We start from the raw sequence: 14,689 nt of genomic DNA, 5'->3' as shown, positions 1-14,689 counted from the left end.
CATTTTATGAAGGAATTTGCAAAGTAAATGTACATAAACACTGAATGGGAGGCAATGACAACATATTTAATGGAAGGAGTACGTCTCAGGGCTCCAGAAGACAGTTTCGAAAAGCACATATGCACCACTTTCATTTGGCCCTGCTTTGCTGAGTGACTGTCTCATGCTGTGCTTGCTTCTCTTTTGTTTCTTTTCCACACCAATAATTTTTGCTCCTGCAGACTGGATGAAGAACTGAGGGAAGCATCAGAGGCAGCTAAGTAAGACTTGGTTTTCGTTTAGCGGCTGGCATGATGTTGGCTTGCATTTCAGAACTGAATTGGGAAAATCTGCATGCCTGGTGTTTTATTCCTGCTTCCTGATAATAATGCACTTTAGAAATTCTCTTTCTCCTATGATAGATGTAATCTCTATTATTCTTACTACAATCTATTTTTCCCCATGATCTTGCTTATACTGAGGAATGTATTTGTCACTGTTGTTGTTGTTTTTTAATGTACACGCAATTCTAGGCACCACAACAAAAGAGCACATCACAGGCACTGCCACATATAGTGTGACATCGAGATGATCATTAGGTATTGAGGCAACAGAACCTCACTAATTCATACCAGTGGGGAGGAATAATAACACATCGAGATTTGGAAGATTTTTGTAGAATCAATTTCACGGCCTTCTATGAATTAAAACAACAACTTACTTAATGACTTTGGAAATATTGCTTAACTAACAGCCTTTGAGCTATTTTGATGAATAGAAAAACAAAAGTCATTGCCCACTATTGCTAAAGTATGAATCTCAAAAAGGCAAAATTACAACTCTCATGCAAATATAAAATGAACACATGCCAATGATTTTATTCAACTAATTATTTAATGCAGGAACCACTAAGGTGTTAAAGCCAGTTCAAAGAACATTTGAGCAGCTAGATATCTATAGGCAATTTATAGAAGAATATTTGGATAAGATTGTTGGGTTAGATACAAAACTGGTTAATAAACAACAGGGCAATAAACTGTAATATTGAGGTTGTCTTTTCCACTGGACAGAAATTATTTGCATCTCTGCTGGACAGAAACTACAAGTTAACCTCTGCCCCTATTGAGCTGTAAAATAGCCCAACCAATAGAAAGTCAGACCCCTGTAATCCCAGCACTTTGGGAGGCCGAGATGGGTGGATCACGAGGTCAGGAGATCGAGACCATCCTGGCCAACATGGTGAAACCCCGTCTCTACTAAAAATACAAAAATTAGCTGGGCATGGTGGTGCACGCCTATAGTCCGAGCTACTCGGGAGGCTGAGGAAGGAGAATCGTTTGAACCTGGGAGGCGGAGATTGCAGTGAGCCGAGATCATGCCACTGCACTCCAGCCTGGGGACAGAGCGAGACTCCATCTCAAAAAAAAAAAAAAATCCAGTCATTCTCTTTTCTCGTTTCCAAGTTACAAAGAAATTTTCTGATAATACATGTTAGATATAACCAAGTACTATTTGAAAAGTTTGCTGAATTAAGCACATTAAGTTTCTTCCCTATTTTAAATGTTGCTTATGCTGTTAATTTTTAAAACCAGCTCCCATTTTAATAGACATTGCAAAAGCAGAAGGCCTGGACAATGTCCTAACAGCTATAAATTCTGAATAAATAAAATCTAACTAATAGACATTTTCTGCATAGTTGTAAATGCCAATTCCTCATTAAAACAATCCATTTAGACATTTTTCCCCTATGGTACATTTTTATTATAATAACCTATAGGATTATTTGCTTGTAGTGTGCCAATCTTTTGTGTTAAAAATTAAAGGATAGGTTTTTGCTTTAGAAAGTTTAGCATTAGTGGAGTTTACTGTTACAATATTCCAGTCTTCTCATTTTCTTTCAAGATAACTGACACCCAATTAGATAATGAAACTCAAAACTGTGTAATTTTTTATTCTAAAAAATCTTCTTAGTCTTGATCCCAACTGTCACAAACAAGAAGTTGTGGAAGTAAGGAAAATACTAGTAATCAAGGAACTGAGTGTTGGTGTAACATCCCTTTAGCATTTACCTGCACTCAAATTGCTTTGTATCATGAGATTTCCTAGAGAGAGAGAACGCTCAGTGAGAGTTCTCTTTCAGATTTTTTCAGTTTTCTTTCAGATTTATTTTTTCAGGATGATAACATATTTATGAAATTAAAGCGCTATTTTGAAGACAAAAGATGGGGGAAAGAACATCAATAATTTTTCAGACAAACCTGTCATAAAGTCATATTGTCATGTTTCTTTCATTATTACCATGAAATCTTGCTTCTTTTAATAGATTTTTTTCCTCTATATTTATACTCTTTCTGCTTAGCTGCCACAGTAAAATGATTATTGTTTTTGGGTAGTTTTGTAGCTTTCTCTTTTTTCTCTCACATCCACTATTTTGTTCTCTTCCTTACCCCTACCTACCCTCTCCCAATGTGTCTAAATGGCTCAGAGGGTCCTGAGACATTTTGATCTCCCTCCTAAAGGAAGCACTATGCTCGTGCCTGGTACATAGTAGATGCTCAGTAAATTTATGCTGCATAAATTAATGAATTTGCATAACATTCAGTTCATTGCTGTTGAGCAGTGGGTTCTCAAACTTTATTGTGCATTGCAATGACCTGGAGCACATGGTAAAACACGAAATCCCATGTCTCACCCCCAAAGTTTCTGATTCAGCAGCTCTAGAGTGGAGCCTAAAAATCTGCATTTCTGGCCAGGTGAGGTTGCTCAGCCCTGTAATCCCAGGACTTTGGGAGGCTGAGTGGGGAGGATTGCTTGAGGCCAGGAGTTAGAGACCAGCCTGGGCAACATAGCAGGACTCCATCTCTACAAAAAAAAATTTTTTTAATTAGCCAAGTATGGTGGTATGTGCCTGCAGTCCCAGCTACATGGGAGGCTGAGGTGGGAGGATCCATTGAGCCCTGGAGTTCAAGGTTGCAGTGAGCTAATTGATCTTACCACTACACTCCAGCCTGGGCAACGGAGTGAGACCCTGTCTCAAGAAAAAAAAAAGTCTGCATTTCTAACAAGTTCCCAGTGATGCTGATGCTGCTGGTCTCAGGACCCAGCTTTGAGAACCACTGCCTAAAAGTCAAGGGCCAAATAAAAATAATCAGATTTGTTTTGGAGGTCTATGCTCTTGCTTTGGATTCAGTGGGTAAGCCATCTGCCTGAAGAATCCTCCCTCTAGGATCTTTTGATCCTACCTTTTTGATGGTAACATCACATGTATGAGGAATTGAAATATATTTGCACATTTGAAAATGTGTACAGAGAAAAAATTCTACTCTGTTGACCCCACAGGTGATTGGAATGCCTTAGAATCCCACCATCTCGGCCACCAGCAACATTTTTTCAACTACCTTTTAGCCTCTGAAGTAGCCCCTGAATTCTAGGAGAAACTGTATGATAAACATGATCACTGCAGATCTATGGTTAGAAGCCAGACATGCCCAGGTTCTTCCTGTTGACAGATGCGCCTGACTTTCCACATGACTTGTTCAGAAAGCTTCAGGCTAGGTCTAACCAAAGGCAAACGTACACTTGGTCAGGGAACAAAACCTATCTGTCCACTGTTTTGCTTTATGCCCACTAGTTTCTCAACATTCTCCCTCTCCCCTCACACACACACATACCACCACTCAAACTGCACCCCAACTCTAATTGACTTCAGAAGGTGATTTCCTCAGCCTGCCTTATCTTTTCTTTAAAACCTTAGCTGTATACAGGAAAGAAAGTATTATACTTCTGAAGGATAAATAGTATACCTAGAACCATTCTTATTTTGAAAATTGGGAAGCATCCGTGTGTTGCCTTTGGAGTGACAGTATTAAAGGGTTTGCAAATTGCTGTTTTCCTTGGGAGGATTACTCAAAATTAAAAAGCAGAAAAGCTGAGTTTGGAAGATTGCCCTTTCTTGATTCCATTCCAGCTTTGCTAGGTTTTTTTTAGCACGCTGTCAACACTTACTTGACTGTCCTTGCTCACTGGAATTCCCAAATATTCCCTATAAAAATATCAGACCACCAGCAAGAAGGGTGGGGAGTGAGAAAGGAAGGTTGCTATCTCACCTGGGGAGATAGCCGCCTGTCATTTTCAACAAAACACCTGACCTTCATCATGGATCCTCTTATGTGCAAACAGATAAATTAGCTTGTGAAATTATATTACTAAGAGGACAACTGCACTTAAAAAGGATCATAGAAGCTCTTTAAATAGAATAGTGTTTGTTTGTCAATAATAAAATATTTATGGGAGGCCGGGCACAGTGGCTCACGCCTGTAATCCCAGCACTTTGGGAGGCCGAGGCAGGAGGATCGCTTGAGTCCAGGAGTTTGAGACCAGCCTGGGGCAACATGGCAAAACCCTACCCCTACCAAAAATATGAAAATTAGCCGGGCATGGTGGCATGCAGCTGTAGTCCCAGCTACTTGGGTGGCTGAGGCAGGAGAATCGCTTGAACCTGAGAGGCAGAGGTTGCAGTGAGCCAAGATAGTGCCACTGCACTTCAGCCTGGGCGACAGAGCAAGACTCTGTCTCAAAAAAAAAAAAAAAAATTATGGGAGGGGTATAAAAGTTGAGGTGTAATGAGTATTCATCAAGAATTAATAGGAAGCAAATTTGAAATTTGCTCACAGAGAAATCACACCAGTATATCAAAAACAGCTAATACTACACAAAAAACATAAATGCCATAAAAACACTTTTATTTATTATTTTATAAGGTTACATTTGTTTTCTGGGCATACTCAGTTGAGGTAAATGGTAGGATTCATTTGTATCACCTGGACACAGCTCAGCTGTATGGAGTGGTAAGTGTCCTGTTATTTCTGTAACAACAACAATGAGGAGAGCTGACGCTGACATTTTTTCTTTCAGTGTATTGGGAAATCCTCATTCTCGTGAAAACTGAAAATTAACTGTGTTCATGGGTGAATAAAATTAGGCTGCTTGAGAGGGATTTTCCTCTGTGTGTATTTTATTATTTGGGGTACCAAAACAATTTTGTAATATGTCCCCTGAATAAGACAAATTGAAAAGGCAGGGAAAAATGAGGACAGAAGAGACCACTGGAGGTGTTTGGAGTTTTTAATCTTTGCTTTGTGTTTTTATATCATGGGCAATCACTTGTATTTCAAAACCAATGGTAAGGGTTACAGCTTAATCTTATCATCTGTTCAGGTATGGATTTGTTCAGTATTAGCAATGGGACCACATTAAACAGTTTCAAATGCCTCAAATCTGTTGTGCTTTCACAGTGGTGACAGTGGGGAAATGTTGACTGCTTCCTATTTTTTCCTTGCACTCAGAACTAGCTGCCTTTACAATGATCCAGAAATGTCTTCTATGGAGAAGGAGTAAGAATTCACCATCAATAACAGCTATGTGGTTACTTGTAGTGTTGTATGGCTGGGCTCTGAAAGAAAACACACTGAGGACTGGGTAAACCCTGTTTAGATGTTCAGCTTTCCTGTGCTCCATTCCTGAAATTAGAAACCTGAAGCTATATTTGCCAGCTTCACACCATTTCATTCACGATCACCCCTTAAATTTCTAAAGGACAACCTGTGGACATGGCATTCTATTTTTCCAATCCAAAAATGGGAAGAAAATGAATATTAGGACCAGATGTAAGAACATTTGGGCAAGAGGAATGCAATTCTGCTTTCTGAATGACATCATCTCTATTTTAATTAGTGGAAGTTGGAACTTCCATTTAATACTTTGGTGGATGGAGAGAAAATGTGCTTGTTTTGCAACATCCAGGAGGAATTCGAGCCTGTATGAGACTGTAGGAATGATCTATTTAGAGGATTGCCATCCTGTGAGAAGCAGAAATTGGACATGTAGTGAGTTCTTAACCACGTTCCAGACTGTAAAAAGCTTCACACGCAGTGTCTGATTTTAATCCTCAGAATAAGTTTATGAGGTACATTTCACAGATGAGGAAAGAGAGGCATGGAGAGACGATCTGACCAGCCCACTGTTTTACAGCTGTAAAAATGGCCCAGAGCTGGAATTTGGACCTTGGCAGTATAGCTCCAGGGCCAATGGTTTTTAAATCAGAAAGAGGTGGTCTTAATGCTAGATGGGTGTACCACTTCCAATTTAATGAAAGACAAAACTATTCACCTAAGAGAACAGAGCGAATTAGTGGCCAAGTCAGTTTCAGGGAATAAACTGTGGTCACCAGCAAGCTTTCAGAGAGAACTTGGTCATCCGACAAGGAGCTTCCAATTTGGTTTGAGTTGTGGAGAATTTAACATTGCCCTTGTTCCTAGCAATCAGGAAGCAGAGGGGAAAGATCAGTTTTAAATGTGTCTCATCTCTATTGTCACCTTTTGCTGTCTTTGGACCTCCTTTGCGTTGAGGTCCAAAAGGAAGTTGGAAAATTATAGTGAAATATCTTCACATTTGCCATGTTGACCTTGCAACTTAAAGGAAGTTTAGGCACAAAAACTCCAGAGACAGTCCCAACTGAAAAAGTTCACAAAGAGCAAAGACTGGGCCAATTCTGGATGCATGCCTATGAGTTAGCCCTGCTCTGCAAGGAAAATTTATTTTTTCTAAATAAAATTTTAAAAAAAGAACAAAGACCATAGAGAGACCTTTGAAATCACACAGCTATTTTTCCAAAGGTCACTGTTGTCCCACCTCTTTTAGATGAAGATAACAATTGCTTCAAGGAAATTGGCACATGAAATTCTGCAAAGCAATAATACCTCAATTCCCCAGTGCACGATAATTCTTTTTGCAACTATTTCTTCCCTCAGCAAAACAGCACCCCCCTTGAGCAGTTAACAGAGCCCACAGTTAACAAGCAGCAGAGAGGGCACATGTGGAAGCCCAGCCAATGGCTGGCCCATCGCTGCTACATCTTGGGGCTTACCCACTTCTTTGCTTGCCTTGTCTGTCTTGCTTCTTATTCCTACGTAGGGCTGTTTGGTTGGGAAGAGGGCAACCATTGCTTCCTGTCTGGGTTCATTTCAGGGCTGGGCATGGAGGAGGGAGGGATACTACAAATTGTTATTGTTACTTCCCACTTTTTAGAAGAACATATTCTTCTCAAGTCTTCCCTTTCTTCAGCCCTCTCTTTCCTGAGCCCTTAAGAGGCACAAGATCACAGTGTGGATGATGAGATCAGGATAAGGGGCAAGAGTAACCAAGAATTTTTTTTTTTTTTCTGACTTCCAGTCCTGGATTTCTGGCTTTCTTTGGTATTAGAATAAGGGCTGCATTTACTTCTTCTGGCACCTTTACACTGTAGGCCATCAAGGACAGAGGAGCATTCTGTGTGGAAGCATTTTACACCTTCCAGAGCTAGTGTTGAATGAATACACTGCAAAATGGGCAAGGGTTCTTCCAATGGGCTCGATCAGTCCAAGAATAAGATGGAGTGTGTGCTGTTATCGTAGTGGCCTCTCATTTTCCTCAGAGACAGAAGGGAAGGTTATGCCCATTTTCTTCTTTCTACATAAAATGCAAATGTTTTTATTCATCATTAAACAATATTGTCTGACAGTTTGTAAGGAACCTCATTTAATACGTGTTAGACACAAAAATGGCCTATTGTAAAATTATCAGAAGGTTGCTCTGTCTCAGGAAAAAGTTGCTTATAGAAAACTAAGCCCATTTGCCCGAGGATTAAGAATATTCAATTCTAATTAAAAGTATTCTTTTTTCCAAAAAGGATACTTTTATTTATTTATTTATTTATGTATTTATTTATTTATTTATTTTTAAATAGCCCTGGGTGCTTGTCTCCTTCCCTTTTAGGTTTGGATTTTATGAATTTCTTCATGTTCCAAAACTTGCAACATGCCTTTTTATATTTTTACATATTTGTTTAAAGTACAGTGATCAAGAGTGGCTCTATTTGAAGAAGCTTAAATTAGCATCATTGTTAATAGCTTTGTTAACTCCACAACGTTGCTGTTCTCTCAAATATTAACCTTCCAAGTGGTTTCCTGTATTTACTTACAAGAAAATTGTTCACTTTTGACTATCTCATTTATTTCATAAACTGGGTAAACAGGTTCCAGTCTTTTAGCTTTTGAGTTAACGAAAGCTGAAGGGATGAATTAAATCCTAGAAGATTTACAAAAAAGTCAGTACGAAAAATAATCGAGATGGGCATCCTGGTGTAAGTGTTAGCTCAGGGGCCCGATGGTGAAACAAGGTGACCATGTTCTTTTAAGCTTCCAAGACTATTTCACATATTCTGACCCACTCTCGCAGTTTTTAGACGATGTGCCCCAAATTTTGGTTTAGTAAATATTCTCTTCATCTATGGGAAAAAGTCAACCAACACCGTGAGAGAAAGAATCAAATTTCCAATCACCAAATCAAACTTACTACAGATTTCCGGGAACAGGAAGGACCTTTTAAAAGCAAAAACAGTATATTTTTTAAATGACCTGTTTTGTAAAGGTATATGAAAAAGATGTCGGGGTCACAGTGGATAAAAAGAGGATACCTCTAAAGCAAACTCTGCAGGTAAGAAAACAAGTCAGAGGGCCTGAAAACTAGAAATATTCATGATGATTTTGGCTTTCCAAAGGAGACAAGATTGTTGCAAGTAGGGTAATAAAGCGAAGAGCTATTTGCTCATTTCAAAAAAACACTGAGGGGCCGGGCATGCTGGCTCATGCCTGTAATCCCAGCACTTTGGGAGGCTGAAGTGGGCGGATCACGAGGTCAAGAGATCGAGATCATCCTGGCCAACAGGGTGAAACCCCGTCTCGCTAAAAACACAAAAAATTATCTGGGCATGGTGGCGTCTGCCTGTAATCCCAGCTACTCGGGAGGCTGAGGCAGGAGAGTCGCTTGAATCTAGGAGACGGCGGTTGCAGTAAGCCGAGATCGCACCACTGAGCTCCAGCATGGCGACAGAGCAAGACTCCATCTCAAAAAAAAAAAAAAAAAAACCACACACACAAAACAACAACAAAAAAAATCCACCGAGGTACTATTGCTGCTAATAATAACAGACATTATGATATGTTCATTATGTACAATTGAAAATGCTTTAGACTTATTCATTAGCAAGCTGTGAAAGCGGTATGACCGTTCCATTTTACAGATACAGAAATGGAAACTTAGAGAAGGTGGGTGACTTGGCCAAGTCCCCACTGCTAATAAGTGACGGAATTGCTGACTATATTTCAAAGGAAAGATACTTTACTACTGTAAACTGGATGGGCAGGCAGCGTGAGTTGCCAGTGGCTTTATTTGCAAAGCTTCTAGAATGAACACTGCTCAGCTGCCGCAAATTCCACAAGTAAAGCACAGTAACCTTTGCAACATGCAAGCTTATGGCTCAGGGAGCAGAGATAAGCAAAATCCACAGATACGTGCCAAATCACCCTTTGCAAACTAATAGTTTCTCTTTTATCGCAACTGAAATTCTTCCTCTATTTACTGGCTTTTGGTTTTCTTCCTCTTGGGTGGATGCGGTAGGAAGTTGTGCTGTGTTCACTAAGAAGCAGAAGAGAGACGTGATTCGAGTGAGTTTTAGGCTTACTCCTCAGATACTTGGGAACCCATTTGACCTTCTGAAAAACAAGCTTTTCTTTAGTTATAAACATCCATCTCAGTAAGGTAGGCTAACCCCTTTCAGTCAATTCCTTTGGCTTCTAGAAAATGTTTGGTGTTGTTTTGTTGTTTACCATTTCTTACTATTTAGTGCTTGTCAGACATTACTTACTTGAGGCAGAACATTTGTTTGCTTCACAAGGAAAGGTCACTTATTAAATAAAATGGCATGATTTCTGGAATACACTAATGCTCCTTATCTTAATTGACTTTGGGAATGAGCCTTTACATGAGTTTTTTACCTCCCTGGATCATTTTGAAAAGGTGTAAAATGCTTCCAGAAACGATTTTGTAGAACTAAACAGATTTCATATGTTGGAGAAAAGCCTGACAAGAGGAGGATTGGGTTTTACCAGATTTTTCTATTATAAGAAACTTGCATGATTTAAATATTTTCAGTATGTCCTTTGAGGAAAAAAGCAAACACAGTGCTACCCAAATCATTACTAAATGTCTCTCATTTGGTTTCTCATGTTTCTCTCTCTTTTTCTTTTCTTTGCAGTATTGACTTGAAGCTGAAAGAAAAGCCTTAGTTGGCCATGCTGGAAGAAGAGGATGCTTTTCTGGTTCATGGTTCTGTTGAAACATATCTACCTGAAAGAGACAGGGCTGATGTTACCTTTTTCCACTTTGCACTACCTGGTGCCATTCTAAATTTCTAAGGGGAAAAATAGAAAGTTTGTTTACTCTTAAGATATTTTATGAAATTGTGTGTACTTTCCTATTTTGCCAATTATGTGCCTCAAAGATTTTAGTTGAGCCTTAGCAAGAAAGTAGGACCTTCCATTTCAATACTTCATTAACACGGTGTAGTGATACTTTGTCCCTTAGACTGGTGTTTACCAGTAAGATACCTTTAATCCACTGTTAAGTATGAGTGGATTTGTTTCCATAGATTAGCTGGATTTCCTTTTGGTGATTGCATTAGGTTTAAAGTACACAGGTCTCAACTCTCCCCAGGAAAGTTTCCCCTGTTTGACTCCACCTTTAAAATCCTAAGCCTGACTAGGACAGCCACAAACCACACAAGGTGTAAAACCATCATCAGCTAAGTGCCCGTTTTGTTCTTGTTTACCAGAATCTCCTTTAACTTCTCAAAGGGAAGCCGGGCTTTCTAATCCACGTCAACTTTATTTTAGTTGTCAAATTGGGCATTATATTTTATGTAAATTGGTCTTTTAACATCATTTTCCTGATGAATGTTGGTGACCACCACATTGTGAAATTTAAGAATCCGTGTTGCATGTTTGGTAGCTCTCTGAGTTTCAGGCCATAAACTCAGCTCCAGAGGTTACCTTTTAAGTGCCAAGAACTCAAGTGCAAGGTGGCCTACTCAAAAATCATTTGGTAGCATTCAGTTATTCATGAATTCCTCTCTCGCATGCATTATAAAAAGTGATCTGCTTTAAAACACCGTAATCTGATCATAGGCTTAAAATTAAATATGAGTATTACTTTCATGTACAAAATATTTCCTTTATAGTCTTCATATGCCCTTTAAAATGCCAACAAGATTTCAAGTCTGTAGGCCTCTAGTGAGGTGGGGTGGCAAACCACAGCTAAGTCTCGCTCACCACTGCAAGCTAAGAATGGTTTTTACATTTTGGGTTGGAAAAATTTTTTTTGAATATTTCATGACACATGAAAATTATTCAAATGTTAGTGCCGATAAATAAAGTGGTACTGAAACACAGCCACACAAACTTGTTTTTGTACTGTCTACAGCTACTTTCACACTACAGCCGCAGAGCTGAGCAGTTCAGCAGACCGTATGTCCCACAATGCCTAAAACATTGACTATGTTTACAGAAAAAGTTTGCTGACCCCTGCTCTAGCAAACGCATCCTTTCCTACTCCACCCCAATTTGTATTTAGATAGTTTCTCTAACAGAACGGACAAATGAGGCTGCAAACTAATTTATTTTTGTCAAAAATCAATGTTTTGACATCCACAGACAGTGAAATAAAAGAAATGGCTTGCTGAAAAACATGAGGAGTCCTAGCCACAAAATCACTGCTTAGGTTGCAATTGCCAAAATGAAGCCTTCTTAGAAGCACTTCTTTAGTATATACAGGTGTTGGCTGAAGTCCGTGCCTCACTCTGGGAACCATTCTTAGTCTCCAGTGTCTCCTATTACAAAGAAGCTGGCAGAAATAAAAATGAAGGGGTGAGAGCGGTTCCACCCTAGTCTCATGGTGGAAAATTCATTGGGGAGAGCTGTCCAGGATATTTGGAGTCCTGGGTAGAAGGAGCTTGTAACTACTTTAAAGTCGACATCTTTGCACAGGTGATTGAGTTTCTCTGACCTCATTGCTTCACCTCTGTCTCCTCCCGTCCTTCCGCACGTGCCCACACACACGCAGTTCAGCCCTCTTTCCTCCATAAGCCTCCATCGTTTTCTCTTTTCTCCTCTTGATCCTTTCAAGCGAGTATCTTGTTGAATTGTATGTTCTGTTGGATCTCCTCCTTCATAACATCTGGCTTGTTGGACAGAAAAACCCTACAGCCCACCCCCTCCCACAGCCCACCTCCACTTTTGAAAGCCCAAATTACACCTCTCCCAGAACACAGTGTTGACGTAAATACAGTTACCCAATATTCCTGTTTGTTCACCTATTTGCTACTTTCACTCAGTAGCATCCCATTTTGTAAAATGAATTCCATGGTCACCCTGTCACAGGAAGTAATGAAAAATCCAGTGTTCAGTGTAGTGGTGCAAACCTGAGGGCATAGAGCTGTTCATAGAGGGCTCTTGTTATAGCCAAACAGACACAGCAACAATCTCACCATTTATATATATATTTTTAACTTGTCCAGCTCATCTATGGAAAACTACTCAGGTGGTATGCTGTTTGAAGCCTCATCTTCCTACATGAAAATTATGGGCATTTGTCCCAATGATTTTGTTTCAGCTGTTCTGTAGGCTGCATAACCACTCTGATATTTAGGTATCTGCTATTTTATTATCTTAAAAGACAAATTAATTTAATTGCATGTGCTAGGGAAAAGCTACCATGTACATTCACCCCAAGTAAATAGAATCCTAGATGAATCCTAGAAAAATAATCCCTAAGCAGATAGGTAGACAGAGGTAAACATTCACATGATTTAGCTCTCTAGCTCTTGCACTCTGAACATTCTTGCTTTGGTTCTGACTTCTGGGAACTGCTTTGCATTTCTCCTATAGATCTGTAGTTAAGGGAACCAAGGGGTCATTGGGGCAAAAGCATTGTTTCTCAAAGCTCCTTGATTAAGAGAAAGAACAGAAATTTGCACAGAAGATAGTGTCAAGGAGTGAGAAAGTTTGTTTGAGGGCAGTAGCTCAGTGTGGAAGAAAATCCTGAAGTTTCTGTTGAAGCCATACAATGTTCTATGGGGTTACTCTCTAAGACATTCTCTGAGGTGTGTGAGGAAGTCACTACTCCTAGCCTTTGTTAAGATGTAATTTTAAATATTCAGTTATGGTACTATGTTTGCAACTCTCGTCTTATCACAATGCCTCAGTAGTTTGTTCCCTTAGAAACATTTAGATGTGCACAAATTAATCTTTTATATATCTAAAGGTTTTTCTATCATGCATTGGATTGCTCAGAATAAAGTGTCTGTTAGACTTCGTTTTGGTAAATAAATTCTCCATAATGTAGATTAATAATATAAAAGTCTTTAATGACACAATATATCTATATAGCCTCACTGTATAATTCAGAAATAAAAATTGATTCTGCATGTGATGGTTTTCTTTCTTTGAGTCAGCAAGAATTTTTCTCTGGCTTCACTTTGCAGCAGTTTTATCTCAACATCAATCTAGCTTGGCACTTGGTACTGGAGGACTGTATACATTTTGGTTTTTCTGTACACCCAAACTTTATTCTCTCTTCATTTTTGCCTTTCCTATCTCAGAGTTCAATACACCGAGCTTTCAAACTGTTGTTTACTCTGTGGATAAGCGATTTCTTACTTTGGAAACATCTCCATGTTTCATGGTTACTTGATTTTTGTCTTTTCCTCTCTCTTCCCCTTGCCTTTTTATGGCATATATTTATTTTTAAATTAAAATGTTTAAATATCATTTTATTTTTAGTTGGGGTTTTTTCCCCATTTTCACAACCTTCAGGCAAAACCAGAGTTGAGAATTACCACTGTGCTATTTTTTTAACTTAATAAACACATGTGTACCTCTGAGAAAGTTGTTGGACTAGCCAAAGGAGAAATTGCTCTACAAGAAGTGAGACGTTGCATGTTCTCATGATCTAAAAATGAGTTCTGGTAGATATTGTCCTCTACCCAAGAAAGGGAAGAAACAGAAGAAAAGGCTGACAAGTAATTGCAGGCAAAGGAAGGACATTCAACTACAAGACGTACTGCTACATTCATTCTGCTCTCGTACCTAACTATGGTGGTGGAAACTGGAGGTGGGCTAGGTGTCCAGCACTAGGGAAAGGGCTGGGTAAATCGTGCTGAATACACCTTTTAGTATACCACAGCTGTGAGAAGCAACATACTATATGTTCATAAAGCAACACTTAAATCATAGGGTAGAGCGGAAAAAGAACAAACTCGATGTTTATAGCACAGTGCCACTTACATAACTGTTAAACATACACACACAAAACTACGTATTATCCAAAATCCATGTGTATTTAAGGACTTAACACACTCATTTGGGTAAGGGTAGGGCATGGAGATCAGTGATAAAGTTGGGAGCCTAATTAAAAATCAAAATCATAAGGGGCCTTTTATAAGCTGAAGTTAAAAATAAATAAAATGAAGACAACTTCAGTCGTGGAAGCCAAGACTTTCAGTCATAGATTACAGAAAAGCTGTGTTGGGGCACTGTGGATCCCTGAGGAGCCATTCCCTTCTACAGCTTCTCTTGTGTGTGCAGTGTCCCTGTGCTGGCTGTGTCCATGTGCTGCAGCGTGCCAGAAGCCCGCCCTGGGTTGCATCATCCTGTGCAGTCATGGAACTTTTAATTCAGAGCTGGTGCCTTTTGACACATCAATCCTCACACAGCTGTGGGCTTTACGGAGCAAGCAGATTGCCTCACGAGCCTGATTTTCCTAGATAGTTTCATTCACA

General features: G+C 39.4%; 1 protein-coding gene and 1 long non-coding RNA gene across 54 annotated transcripts in view; one reads left to right on the top strand and one right to left on the bottom strand.

The window, feature by feature from the left end:
• Positions 1-13,336, top strand: part of PRUNE2 (prune homolog 2 with BCH domain) — a 294,739-nt gene extending 281,403 nt beyond the window's left edge. For 12 of the 41 annotated variants that reach the window (NM_015225.3, XM_006716986.2, XM_006716983.2 and 9 more), the window contains 3 exons: positions 222-260; positions 5,325-5,372; positions 10,112-13,336. In NM_015225.3, coding sequence (NP_056040.2) covers positions 222-260; positions 5,325-5,372; positions 10,112-10,142 — 118 coding nt within the window. In that variant the 3' untranslated portion in view covers positions 10,143-13,336. Of the gene's footprint in view, positions 1-221; positions 4,976-5,324; positions 5,373-9,474; positions 9,616-10,111 lie in introns of those variants that run through there. The other 29 variants (NR_131751.2, XM_047422884.1, XM_017014352.2 and 26 more) reach the window with 10 other exon arrangements.
• Positions 1-14,689, bottom strand: part of LOC105376095 (uncharacterized) — an 84,799-nt gene that overhangs the window by 52,995 nt on the left and 17,115 nt on the right. The window lies entirely within an intron of this gene.

This window comes from Homo sapiens, chromosome 9 (genome assembly GCF_000001405.40).
Source record: "Homo sapiens chromosome 9, GRCh38.p14 Primary Assembly".
NCBI lineage: Eukaryota > Metazoa > Chordata > Mammalia > Primates > Hominidae > Homo > Homo sapiens.
Note: the sequence above shows the minus strand (reverse complement) of the source record. Positions and strands in the feature narration are given on the sequence as shown.